At 48.3% G+C, this 12,927-nt stretch overlaps 1 protein-coding gene across 8 annotated transcripts in view; it reads left to right on the forward strand.

Moving 5' to 3' along the window:
• Positions 267–12,927, forward strand: part of GABRA5 (gamma-aminobutyric acid type A receptor subunit alpha5) — an 82,490-nt gene continuing 69,829 nt past the window's right edge. For 2 of the 8 annotated variants that reach the window (NM_001165037.2, XM_017022055.2), the window contains exons 1-3: positions 267–932; positions 2,277–2,341; positions 2,723–2,882. In NM_001165037.2, the coding sequence (NP_001158509.1) occupies positions 2,797–2,882 (86 nt within the window). In that variant the 5' untranslated portion in view covers positions 267–932; positions 2,277–2,341; positions 2,723–2,796. Of the gene's footprint in view, positions 967–1,362; positions 1,648–2,276; positions 2,342–2,722; positions 2,883–12,927 lie in introns of those variants that run through there. The other 6 variants (NM_000810.4, XM_047432338.1, XM_005268258.3 and 3 more) reach the window with 4 other exon arrangements.

A 12,927-nucleotide genomic window follows, 5' to 3' on the forward strand; every position in this document is an offset into this window, starting at 1 on the left:
GGCTCGGAAGCCCTGCTGGGGAGATCCCGCCCCGTCACCCCAGAGGCGCTCTCCGACCTGCAGCCCCCAGGGCTCCTGGCCCTTTCCCGTTTGCCACTGCGGCTTGTTGTCAAGAAATGGAACTTCAGAAAACCCCCAGATATACACTGCGTTAGGTAAGGATTTCATTCTAATCGAGTCCAATGTGACCCTGGCTTTCCCTCCCGTAGTTATGCATTCCTGTCTATGAGTGAGATGAAAAGAATGTCCACAGGCCAGCTTCTTTCAGAAGCGCCTAAGAGATGCGCATGTAAGGGGTGCCATGGAGCACCCGGGAAGGACCCAGGCCTGGGCAGGGAGGCGTTGGGGCCGGCTCTAGGGAGCAAAGCTGTCGGAGTCCAGGCCTCTATCACCCGACTGCTGACACTGCCCTCCCATCCCTGCTCTACAAGCGGGCGGTGGTGACTACACGAGGCGCCGAAGATGCTGTTGAGGGCCCTGGAGAAACTTCAGCAGAACAGGGCCTCTCCCCTTGCAGGCCGAGCCGGGGGCCCTGCGCCCTCCCCCTCCGCCCAGCTCGGCCAAGGGCGCATTTGCTGAGCGTCTGGCGGCCTCTACCGGAGCACCTCTGCAGAGGGCCGATCCTCCAGCCCAGAGACGACATGTGGCGCTCGGGCGAGGTGAGAGCGGGCGCGAGTGCGCCGGGGGCGCTGGGGGGCTCTGCGGCGGGCGGCGCGCGGCCCGGGGCGCGGCGCGGAGCGGAGCTGCAGGGCGGCGGCGGGAGCGCGGGGCGCAAGAGCCGCTCCGCCGGGAGTGCCGGGGAAGTTCGCGCTGGCAGCATGGGGCGGTGACGCCGCACCGGCCTTCCGCGCCTGCCAGCCGGGCGAGAGCAGGCGGAGGAGAAGGAGGATGCATCCTCACCGACGGCTCGCCTCCCGGGGCCGGCGCGCAGGGTGAGCCCTGGGCGCGCTGGGCCGGGGCAGTGGGGTAAGAGGACGCGAGCGGGGAAGAGGACCGGCCGCCCCGGCTCGGTCCGCACCCTTCTCCTCGGGGCGCCTGAGCGGCAGGCTGCGTGGCCGGGGAGGAGAGGTGCAGAGCAGGCGGGGCGCGCAGCCAGGCCAGAGCGCAAACTTTACCCTGGCGACTGCGGGGCTGAAGCCGGGCGCGGGAGAGAGCGGGGTCCGGGCGGCTCATCCCTGCCGGACGGGGCACCAGGGCGCGGTGACCGGTTGGGGGTGGGGGACACCCGTTGCCACCATCACGGGAGCCGGAGGGGTGAGATCGCCCACCTGGAAAGCCAGCGTCAGCCCCGGGGCTCTGAGGCGCGCGGCGTCCCGGCGCTGCTCGCGGGGTGGACTCGGACCCCGCGGGGGTGTCGCGCGCGTGTCGCGCGGGCTGCTCGAGGCCAGGGGACTTGGAGTCGCTGCTGCACCGCGCGCTCCCAGCCCAGGAGGAAGGCGCTGCCTGGCGGAGCGCTTGGCTCGTACCCGGGGCAGGAGCAGGGGAAGTCTGCGAAAGCCGGGAGCGAGCCGGGGAGGGCCGGGGAGCTGGAGACCCTCGGCGTGCCGCTGCGGACCGCGCGGGTGGCGACCGCGGGTGCCAGGGCGACCCAGGCTGCGGCTCCGCAGTGCAGCCCCCGCGCCCACCTGCCCTGGCGCGCCGGCCCTGGTGAGCCTCTGTGGGGGTCCGGAGGGTCGTGGGAGCGCAGCCTCTCCTGGGGGTCCCTGGCTCGGGGCTGAGGGGCGGCGGGAGGCGCCGCCCGGGTTTCCCGCATGCAGCGCCGCGTGCTCGCCGCCTGGCTCTGGCCCGGGCCCCGCGACGAGCCCCCCGGACGCGCCCAGGCGACCACCGCATGGCACCCTGCCCTTCTTGGCAGGAGTCGCAGAAGGCCTTCGCTTCCGAGGTGGAAGTACCTGTTGTGTCTCCCAATTCCGGAGTTTGCGGGGGATGGGGGTTGGGGGGGCTTCTTGGGAAAATGCTTCTTTTCGAAGCATACTGTTCGGATGCCTGTGAGCACCTATTTGCGTTATGCGCATACTGAGAAATGCGTGTTTTCAGGAAGGTTAGTCGTTGAGCCCAGGGACAATGTCTGCCTGGATCTCAAATACATTAATTAGGGTCCAGCATTGAGTGGAGAGACTTCCACAGATGCAGTGCTTAAGTTATGTAGTCACGGGGACCGAATGCCGGGAAAGTAGCCACACTCTTTTATAGGCAGTTGTCACAGTATTGTGATCCTGCAGAAAACCTGTTTCTTAAATGTGCTTTTCCCCACTTCTTTCCACGTACTTTCTCAGTGCCTTGCAGAGAGAGGAGTAGCTTGCTGGCTTTGAACGCGTGGCGTGGCAGATATTTCAGAAAGGTAAAATTACTACACTTGTGGATTTGACGGATACAAAATACAGTCGCTCAGATAACTACAGCGTTTATTTTAATAATTGGACTAATGGTTTATTTGATAACATGCTAAAAAACAAAACAGAGTATTTGAGTGGAAAACAACGAATTAGGGTGATTCTGCACCCTGAGTAGAAGTAAAAATAAGCCTCTTGTTACTTATTTTTATGCTCCAACTTACTGCCCAGTGAGGGTGATGGAAAATACCTGGTGTGCAGCTGTCCTGGGGAAGGACAGCGGGCTCCTTTCTTTGCAAATTGTTGTGATAGCAGTGTGATTTGATTCCAGGAACTGTGACACAACAGCATTGATGTTCACGTGCTTCCCCGCTTTGTGTGCTTTTCAGCTTCAAGAACAAGCTGGAGAAGGGAAGAGTTATTCCTCCATATTCACCTGCTTCAACTACTATTCTTATTGGGAATGGACAATGGAATGTTCTCTGGTTTTATCATGATCAAAAACCTCCTTCTCTTTTGTATTTCCATGAACTTATCCAGTCACTTTGGGTAAGTTACCATCTGTGCTTTTATTTTATGATGTTAGGGACACTGGTGCCTTTCAGACATGTTACGGGAGCAGCACATCCATTGAGCAAGTCCTCGCCTGCCACCATTGCAGTCCCAAGCCCTTCACTTGTTGTAAATAAATGAAGTCATTGCCCTGACCCACGCTTTCTTCCTGAGCAAGGCTGCTCCTCACGTGGGGTCTCTGAAGTGAGTCAGAGAAAAAAAGGCAGATTATGTTTTCAGAAATGGAAGCTGAAGATGATATCCGAGTCAGCTGTGATTCTTCCTACTCAGGTTAAAACAAGATTCAGGAGTTCACATGCATGAAGGACAGTCACTGCTTGTTAGACAAGGCAGTGCCAACATTTCAGTTGCCCTCCACGGTTCCATTATGCAATCAAAGTTGCCTTGAAAGCCAGGCCTATGCTACTTGGCATTGAAAAGGACTCACAATGGTCCTGGCCTGAGCCAAGGCCCTAGAACTGTGACCATCTGAATGCAGGTGCAGACACCATAAACCACAGGTGCCTGAAGATCTGAAAGACACCCCTGAGGTTCTGGCACTATCATTTCCAGTAACCCCTCTTTCATTTTAGCCTTTAGTATCCGCATACCAACTCTAACCTTTTTTTTCATGAAACTAGTGATAACCCACATCGTGGATGAATGTTCTTATGAGGCTGCTGTTCCTGTTCTGACCCGTGCCCTAGAATTGTTCTGGTTAATCAAAAGGATTGTAACTTGAAGTTGATGGCATATAATTAAGAAATTAAATGTCAGGACAAAAGTTGCCAAGCGTTAGTGCTGCAAAAATGGGGTCCAGAGGTTTCACAGCCTATCCACATTTATGTAAATAATCACAGGATGGGGAATATCCAGTGGCTTGGCAACAGCCTGTAGACAGCCTTCCCATCTGGGGGGAAAGAAGACATCCCCAGGGCCATGATGTTTTCTGTCTGTCCTCTGTACATTTTCTGCTCTTCTGACTCTTCTGTGCAGAGGAAGGGGTGGGTGTGGGGGCCTTGCTCAGGTGCAGTGGCTGGTAGAAGACAGCATTGGGACTTTAGTCCACATCCACCCCGGGGCAAGCCTGAGCCATCAGCTGAGACTTTGTCCAGCAGAGCTGAGCTAAGGAAGATGCCTGTCCCTCACCAACAGAAGCCAGGCAGTGTGTGCACTCTAACCACACTGACGGGAACAGGTGTGTGGCATGTCTCAGCCCTTTGAGCCATTCTAAGTATTCCCTTGGGAAAGAGCATTGGCCGTGGCTCTTGCCTTGCTTATCTTGAGTGGATGCCTCCCTTCCCATGCCTTCAGATTTTTTTTTATCTATTAAATGAATGTTTTCCTTTACAAGTTCTCTGCAGCTGCCAAAGCCTGTAAACTAGCATGTTCACAATGTTCTTCTGAATGAAATGTCTGTACATAAGTGAAATCGCACAGAATATTCAAATTTGTCATCTAATGCATTAGGTAGTTGGTTTGTTTGATATACCGCATATATTTGGTAGCATTTTGGTGGTGAAGAATATATCAGGATTGGAAACTTATATTTTCTTTAAAATATCTTGGCTAGGCCAGGCGTGATGGCTCATGCTTGTAATCCCAGCACTTTGGGAGGCCAAGCGGGGGGCGGATCGCCTGAGGTCAGGAGTTCGAGATCAGCCTGGCTGACATGGTGAAACCCCATCTCTATTAAAAATACAAAGATTAGCCAGGCCTGGTGGCACATGCCTGTAATCCCAGCCACTTGGGAGGCTGAGGCAGGAGAATCGCTTGAACCCGGGAGGTGGAGGTTGCTGTGAGCTGAGATCATGCCACTGCACTCCAGCTTGGGCGACAGAGCAAGACTTTGTCTCAAAAACAAAACAAAACAAAACAAAACAAACAAAGAAACAAAATCTTAGCCAAATGTATTATGAATTTGCATTGAATAAGCATGAAATGGTTTCACTCCCTGGTAGATGCAGGTCTGAAATAGGAAGTAATGTGTGTAAGTAGTTTAGCCCCAAGAAGCAGGTATGCTTTCTTATTTAGTTCTGTAGCTTGCTGAGGTCATCTTCAAAATAGAGGGGTATCTTAGTCTCTGAAAGCTAACACTGAGTAAGTGGTAAAATACCCCTCAAACTTTCCAGAAAATTAACTGTTGGAGCAGTTTTTAATCTTTTAGGTATATGGCCAGTAATCCATCATAAAACAGCACCGACTAATTGCAGCAAATATGTGCGATACAGAAGTCGATAATGAAAGGAATCTCTTTAATTCCACCACCCAGAGACAACCATGCTTCCCATTTGGTGCACTGACTTCCCCTTGCTTCTGTGCATGTTTTTTATACAGTTGGGATCAGGCTGTGCAGTTTGGTACTGTGCTTTTTTCCTACCCAATACATGATCACAATTTCTTTAAAATGTATTATTTTAAATGGCTGCATATTTGACAGGGCAAGAGCGCCTTGTGTTAGCTTCTTCCCTAATTGGGGATGTTTACGTAGTGAATGATTTTGCTGTTATAAATTTTCCTGTAGTGAACGTATTTGGCTTACAAGTTTTCTTAGGTATTTGAGATTATTTATATTAGAAGATATTTTTGTAAGAGGAATTTTACATCAGGTTCTTTGAGCACTTTTCACTCTTGACCCTGCGCGCCCAATTGCTTTTGAAGAAGTGGGGTTTCTAGCAAAGCGGGAAGCCAGGTTCACACATTCTGGCCAGCAGGGCATGTTTTTCAACAGCCACAAAAGACATCATAAAATACATCAAGCCCCTATTTATTTCCCTTCCTATAGGAGACTCCTCTCACTTGTATATTATCTAAATGGACTTAAGAATAATTGTGTCAAATCCCGATTGAAATTTCCTAATATTTAGTTAACTTTAAATCTTGAAAAAATAGCTACCACAACGTGGAGCACCTGTCTTTATGTTTCGTGTTTTGGTTTTGGATGAATCCTAGGAGCCACTGTATGAGCTGAGCACCGTTAGCCCATCTTCTAGCTGGGAAGGAGGGAGGATGAATGCCTAACCTCAGAAGTCAGGAGTCCTTACTCGGAGCTTCCTGTGTGACTCCGCCCCCTGTCACTTCTTGGGCTCCCTGACTTGAATGCACACATTTTGCAGGGTAGCCCTGGATCAAACCAGTCTAGACAAGAGGGAACGTAATTCTAAAAGGTAGTACCTGCTTCAGAGTGGAGAGAGTTTTCAGTACTTGGGGATTAGCGGGAAAAAAGAGTCTGGGTCAACTCAGTTTATTTTCCCTCCAAAGAAAGAGTTTATGTGATTGGGTTCAAAAGAAAGGGGAAAGGAGAAGCATCAAAGGGTTTAATTTGAACCTGATTCTAGGACAAGAGAAGTGCTGACTCCTGAGAGGCCAGAGAACTGGCAGTGGGTGAGGAGGACTATAGAGAATCAGGCAGGGAAGAAGAAGGAAAAAGAAAAAGAGCAGGGCTATGTGCGTGGACCAAGTCGAAATGCAGTGTTTGTGAAACGTGTGTGGCACTGGCAGTTGGAAAATTTATAGATGTGATAAGTGCAATGTACTTGGTGATTATATAGGATAACTGATATGAAATTGCTTTGAAAATACATGAGTGTTCTTCTCCTTCTCTTGATCATATTCTAAATTTGATTGGAGTCACCAGCAGCTCATTTGCAATAGTCTTCCTAATTCTTCTGTTAGTTTTAAATTATGGAACAGAGACCAAGTCAAGTATACAATACAATAAGGCCCTTTTTGGACACTCAGCCCCGTGCTAAGGTACGTTTGACGACCTGGGATTACTTGAAGTACTATATTTATTTTAGTAAGACCAGTAAACAAAAGTACATAGTATAGAAAAACCAGTACAGAAACAATATTGGCACCAATATAATGTCAAAATACATAATATTAGATTTAAACTGGAATTAATTTATCATCATTAAGAAAATCATACTTTATCAGACCTGATAGACCAGTGACAATTGTGAGATAAAATTGAGGATTATCAGCTTAATAATAAGGTAAAGGCTGAGTCCATTGATTTTATTGTCTTAAATATATTTTGGAGGTTTACTGATTGATAAAAAAATCTGTTGAACAATTTTAATATGTGGGAGCTGCAACTCAAATAGACTTTGGAAAATAAGATTTTATAAGCAGCAATTAAAAGTAGGTTATTGGAGAAGTGGCTTTTGAACATGAACAGACAGAGTCTTCTTTATCTGTCTACACAAGTGTGCCAGTGTGGACGTTTGTTTTTGTGAAGAGAACCATTCCATACCCTCACTCAAGGACAGTTCCCTTCTTTTAAATAGAGCAGAAAGTACATTCTCTGAATCACGCAGGTACTCATGATATCTTTTTAAATGGAAAGTTCTCCCTTGTGAATCCCCAGATGACAAATTCTTCCTGCACCATAGCTGCGGGTTCATGAGGCCCGGGACAGTTATGATAACAATTCTGAAAGCACTCAGAAAGCCCACTGAAGCAGGGAGCAGGAACACAAGTGGTGGTGCACCTAAAGGCTTCAGCGACCCTGGGAGAGCCAAAAGGCAGTTCTTGCACGTGGCAAAAAATGTAGGTGGTTAAAAGAGGACTATAGGGGAATGTCCAACATGTTTTTAAAGGTACCCAAAGTAAATAATTCTCAGTTATCTGCTTTATAAAGGAAACTTTCAGCATGTTCAGCAGGCACTGAGCAGGCAGGAGAGTCGGCCAGCGCAGCTCTCCGCCAAGACTGTCTGGCAGTCAGCTCGGGAGTGAGTCACCGACTCCCTTCAAGGGGAGAAGGAGCATGTGGGCTTTCGGGTTTTTACAAAGGTTCAAATTGCATAAGATGCTCATTTTAATTAATGAGAAATTTCAGAGGAAAGTACTAGAAGCAAAAATAAAAAGAAATCTCATCAGAGAAGTCTGCTGGTACTTCAGCATGTATATGAGTGTATCATATACACTCATTTATCAGCATGTATATGAGTGTATCCCCTTAATATTCACAATGCATTTTTTTTTTAAATGCACTGTTTAATTTACACAAAATTCTTGATTTGCAGGTGAAAAGAGCTCAGGTGTTAGAGCTTAGAGAAGTGTGTCCAAGTTTTACCATCTGAAAGTGATAAAAGCAAGGGATCCCTGAGAATGCAGGCTGGGCTAGCGTGCTCCACTGCAGGGCCTGCTCCAGAATGTCCTAATTTTTATTATAGTGCCCTGAAAAGGGAAGGAATGGGGGGAGGACTATATATGGGAAACCAAAGAATATCCTAATCTAGAACTCACATGTTACCACTATGAAAACATTGTCTACTGCAGCCCAAATAAACTCCAACACGGAATATAGATTGTGAACTGGAATACTGTGGAGAAAGATCATTTGCTAGTGAGAGTAAGACCTGCAGTGAAACAGGCTTCAGCAGTTCATTGAAAACTCTATTTTATTTGTATTTATTTAACAACTTATTTTAAAATAAAAAAAAGTCAACCTAAAAGTGAATGAAGCACAGAACCAGTTAATTTTTAGTTTTAACAAGAACAATTGGGCCATCACTGTACTGTCAGTTCGGTTCCTGTTTCAGGACCGCTGGTGAATATTTAGGATGGCATTAAGTGTCATTTTGACAGAGGGCAGTGTAGCTGCCCGGCTTCGATCTCTGTCCACATGCTCTCTGTGTGACGTCAGAAGAGTTACTTCACCTGCCTGCAACTCAGTTTCTAATCTCAATGTGGGATTAATCATGGGTCTCAATGTGGGATTAATCATGGGTCCAGGATCACAAGGCTGGTATGAAGGATCAATTGCCAACCTATGCCAAATGCTCAAGCAAGCCCAGGTCTGTGTCAGGGGAGGGTATGCTAAGTGCACCAAGCCATTCTGGGTTCTGTGTCCAGGAGACTCCTGGGGTTTACTGGACCCAGAGTGTGAGATGGTGCCTGGCCTCAGCCTGAGCACAGTAAGGTCATTGCCTTGCCCACATCTGCAATGTCTCCCTCGCAGGGGCATCCTGGGGGACATTGCCCTGCAGCTACACCAATGTGGACCATGCTCTCACCATGCACCAGGCACTGTTCCAGGTACTGAGATGCACAGAGCAGAGCAGGGGCAGAGTGGGGCTTGCCTCCCAGGAGGGTACACTCTGGTGTGCATGGAATAAGTGTCAGTAGGTTATGATGATTGCTATGAAGAGTAATTCAGAGTAAGAGACAGTGCGTGTGCTGGAAAGAGATGCTTGAGCAGAGATCTGAGGGAGGTGAGGATGTGAGCAAAGCTGTTGGCAGAGAAACCTGAACTGGCAGGAGGAATGGCGGGTGAATCCCAGGCTGTGTGGCAGGTGCATGCTTGATGTGTTAGGAACAGCGGAGGGGCAGGCGTGAGGAAGTGGGAGACGGGGAGGGAGCGTCGTCAGGGAGGAAGGGCTGGGGTTGGGATCACATTCCGAAAGTGCTATAGGCCATGCAGGGGAGTATCAGGAAGGACAGTTGACTTTTATCTGGAAGGGCAGAGAGGGCCACTGAGTGGTTTTGAGTAGGTTTGAAACATGATCCAATTTAGATGTGATAATGATGTGACTTAAACGTTGAAGCTCACTCTGGGTGCAGAGTGAAAGAATAGAATGGAATCTGGAGTGAGGTGAGAGGGGGTTAACCCGAGATGCAGTGGGGACAGTGAAGAGGTGATTGCAGTGGCCCAGGGGAGTGGCTGTTTTGGCCAGCAGCATTAGCTGATAGGTTATTGTGGGCATGAAGGAAAGAGAGAAGTCAGGGATGACCCCTAGGTATTTTGCTAGAGAACCCAACAGGTATTTTGCTCCATCACCTGCCTATGATCGAGCTGGAGAGGGCAGTAGGGAAGAGGTTTGGGTACAGAAGGTCACAGGTGCAGTGGTGGTGTGGGAAGCCCCTGGAGACACCACTAGGTCTCCCAGTGAATGTAGAGGTCTGGAGGACAGAGAGGGATTGGGCTGGAGGTGTGGACCTGAGGTGTTTCCATACTTTGGGAGGCATTTAAGCCACTGGTTTGGATGAGACAGTCGGAGGTTAAGTGCACACAAAAAGGAAAGGGTGTCTGGATCGTGCCCTGGGGCATGCTTGTGTTCTGAGGTCAGGAAGGTAAGAGAGGCAGCAGGACTGAGGGGAAGAGGCAAGTAAAGGGAAAGACAGACAGAGCCGTGCCCTGAGGCCCAGTGGAAAGGATTGTAGGAATGTTGCCCACAGGTCAACTAAGCTGAGGACCAAGACTTGATCTTCAGATTTGGCCATGTGGAGTTCATTACTGGCCTCCAGAAGAGAAGCTTCCTTGGGATGCAGGTAGTGAAGGCCTGGCAGAGTGGTTACAAGAGAAGGGAGGGGAGGCAGCGGGGGTTGCTCATATGGACAAATCTCCCAGTGAGTTTTCATGGAAGACGGGCAAAGAATGGAGCAGTGACTGGAAGGGAATATGGGGTGAATGAAAGGCTCTTTTAAAGAGCGGTGGTATTAGAGCGGATGTGCTTGCTGATGGGCATGGCAAGAGAATGGGGAGAATGTGTGTAAGGACTGGGATGGAACATCACTGTGTCATCACCTATGCAGGACCCCCAGTGTGGCTGGGAGGAGGAACAGGGCTGAGTCTAGGAAGGAGGGCAGGGTGGGAGAGGTGGCTCTGGCCTGTGGGGCCATAGGGCTTGGGTTTTACCTTGTGGGCAGCAGGATTCTGAGTTGGGCAGCAGTGCCAAGGGCAAGAATGGAGAACCTCCATGAAGATTGAGGAATACACTTCAGTAGGATTTCAGGAGCTGCAGGGAGAACTGGGGGATTTTAGGATTTGGCAGGAATATCGGAGAGTTCTAGCATGATGTTCCATGGCACAGACTCAGAGCCTCATAAAACAATGTGGTGCCTGTCCATGTTTTCCACCTTAAGAGGGGAAAGCTGTTATTTGGAACCCTGGGATTGACCCTCACTGTCCAGCCAGTGTCCATCTTGGTTTTGTTTTTCTGTTACATTGTTGTTGTTTTTCTAATATGGTGCTTAAGTGATCGGTAATGGGCATTTGAGGAAAACATCACACAATGGTGCCATTTAGAGGTACTCATTTAATGACCTGAAAGTAACAGACAAATAAACAGAAGAGACATTTTTCAGAAGTCATTAAATACTGGGGAAGAACAAAGTTTAAGAAGACAGATAAGCTGCAGCTTAAAACAAGCCCAGTTCAAGGTCCAAAGTAATTTCCAGTCAAAATACGTCTGCAGTTGCCATTATCGAACTCACTGTATGTAAGTCAGAAGTGGTCATCCATATAAGAGAAGCACGTCACACACTGCCTTCACTAGCACCCGTGGTGGAATGACAATACCGAAAAGATTTTTTCTTCTCCAGAAATGACGCCACAACTTGTACTCTTTCAAGTACCAAATAAGGAAAATGTTGGAACTGAGAATATGGCATAAGTGGGACATGTTTTGTAGAGAATATGCATTCAATATAAGGAAATAATTCCTATTTTAAGAGAACCTAGTGAATTAACCCAGACTAAAATTGAAGGGTAAGTCACCAAATTTTCAAATATTTCTGTTATGTCTAAGACTGTTGTTAGTAATAGGGATATAATCTCAGCTCACAAAAATTTACTTCCCCAAAGAATGGAGCCTTTATTTGTCCTTGAAGCACTCGTGGACTCTGGTCGACCTCAGGATGAGCAGAGCTCCTGGGCTGTACTCAGTGCAGTTGAGAAAAGCAGAAGTGGCGCGTCGGCGAGTGTAGGCTGCCTGCTGACCCTAAACGGAGTGAGCGCTTTATGGGCTGAGGACATCTTGGTTTCCACCTGTAGGACTCATCCGTCACACGCTGCACATTAGTGCTCACCAAAGGCATAGCCCTGGATTTCTGTGTTATTTTGTTTTTCAAGTGCTTTCAATGAGCCAAAATGGAACAAAGCAAGCTGAAGTTCCTCCTTAGCTTAGCAGCAGTTCTTAAAGATCATACAGCTTGATAGAGGCGCTAGCCAGTTCCCCAGGCATGTGTGAAGGTCTCCTGTATGAAGGCACTTACACACCAGGGGCTGAGAAAACACAGCATTTGCCTTCTATGATACAGCACGAGCCTTTCTCTCCATGGCTGTGAAAGCGGTGTATTTCATAACCACGCACTGCAGATGAAGCATTTTTGAGGATGGCCTATGGACAGAGGAGGGCCTCCAGCTCATGAAAAAACAAAACAAACAAACAAAAAAAAACCCCTCTGCTCCTACCCCGATAGGCATCATCAGAGCTTTTTAAGAATCTGTTTCTTCCCTCCTAGAGGCTATCTTCAGTTAATACAGCAAGGACAACACTGCAAATCCCCAGCCATGGCCCCATCGTACAAAGAAAGGTCTACAGATAAAGGCAAAAGGCAGTATGGCAGGAAAGGGCAGACACTGACATTCCTCCAAGAAAAGTGTAATTATGTGCAAATGTGTGTAGATATACTGAAACTAATGAAAATAATTTTGATCAAGAAGTAGAATCCGAGCTTTGAAATTCTTAAGCATAGCATTCTATTCCGTCACTGTGGGAAATGATTAGGGTATTTGTGAGTGGGATTCAGAGCCCAGTGGGATGGTGTTTCCCTAAAACTGGCAGAGCAGGAGTGTCTTTATCTCCGCTTCTGGAGAGAGCCACGGAAAACAACGCTCACAGAGACATCACTGTGGCTGCACAGCCTCCAAATGGTCAATCATGAAGTCAAGCCCTTGTCTCTGGACAGCCAGGGCTGTTACCATCTAACACAATTTAGGAACATTTTCACAACAGAGAATGGAGTAGCTTAGAAAACTTTAATTTCACCATTAAGATCTGCTTTTTCTACTAGTACCTCAATTGGTAAGATAAAGAGACAGCAAAGACCTTCCAAAAACTGAGCACCTGGACGTGGTCTAAAATTGAGTTGCAAACTCGGTGACAATTATGAAGTCCATGAGAAGTGCATCATGAAGCCAGATCTGGTTTGACCAATAGTTACACAACTGGGCAGGTACAAAATATAACCTTCTTTTTTCCCCCTGCAAAACTCTGAAGAAGAAGGCTGTTCACTGGGAGGAGCTATGCTA

Source organism: Homo sapiens, chromosome 15, assembly GCF_000001405.40.
Source record: "Homo sapiens chromosome 15, GRCh38.p14 Primary Assembly".
Taxonomy (NCBI): Eukaryota; Metazoa; Chordata; class Mammalia; order Primates; family Hominidae; genus Homo; species Homo sapiens.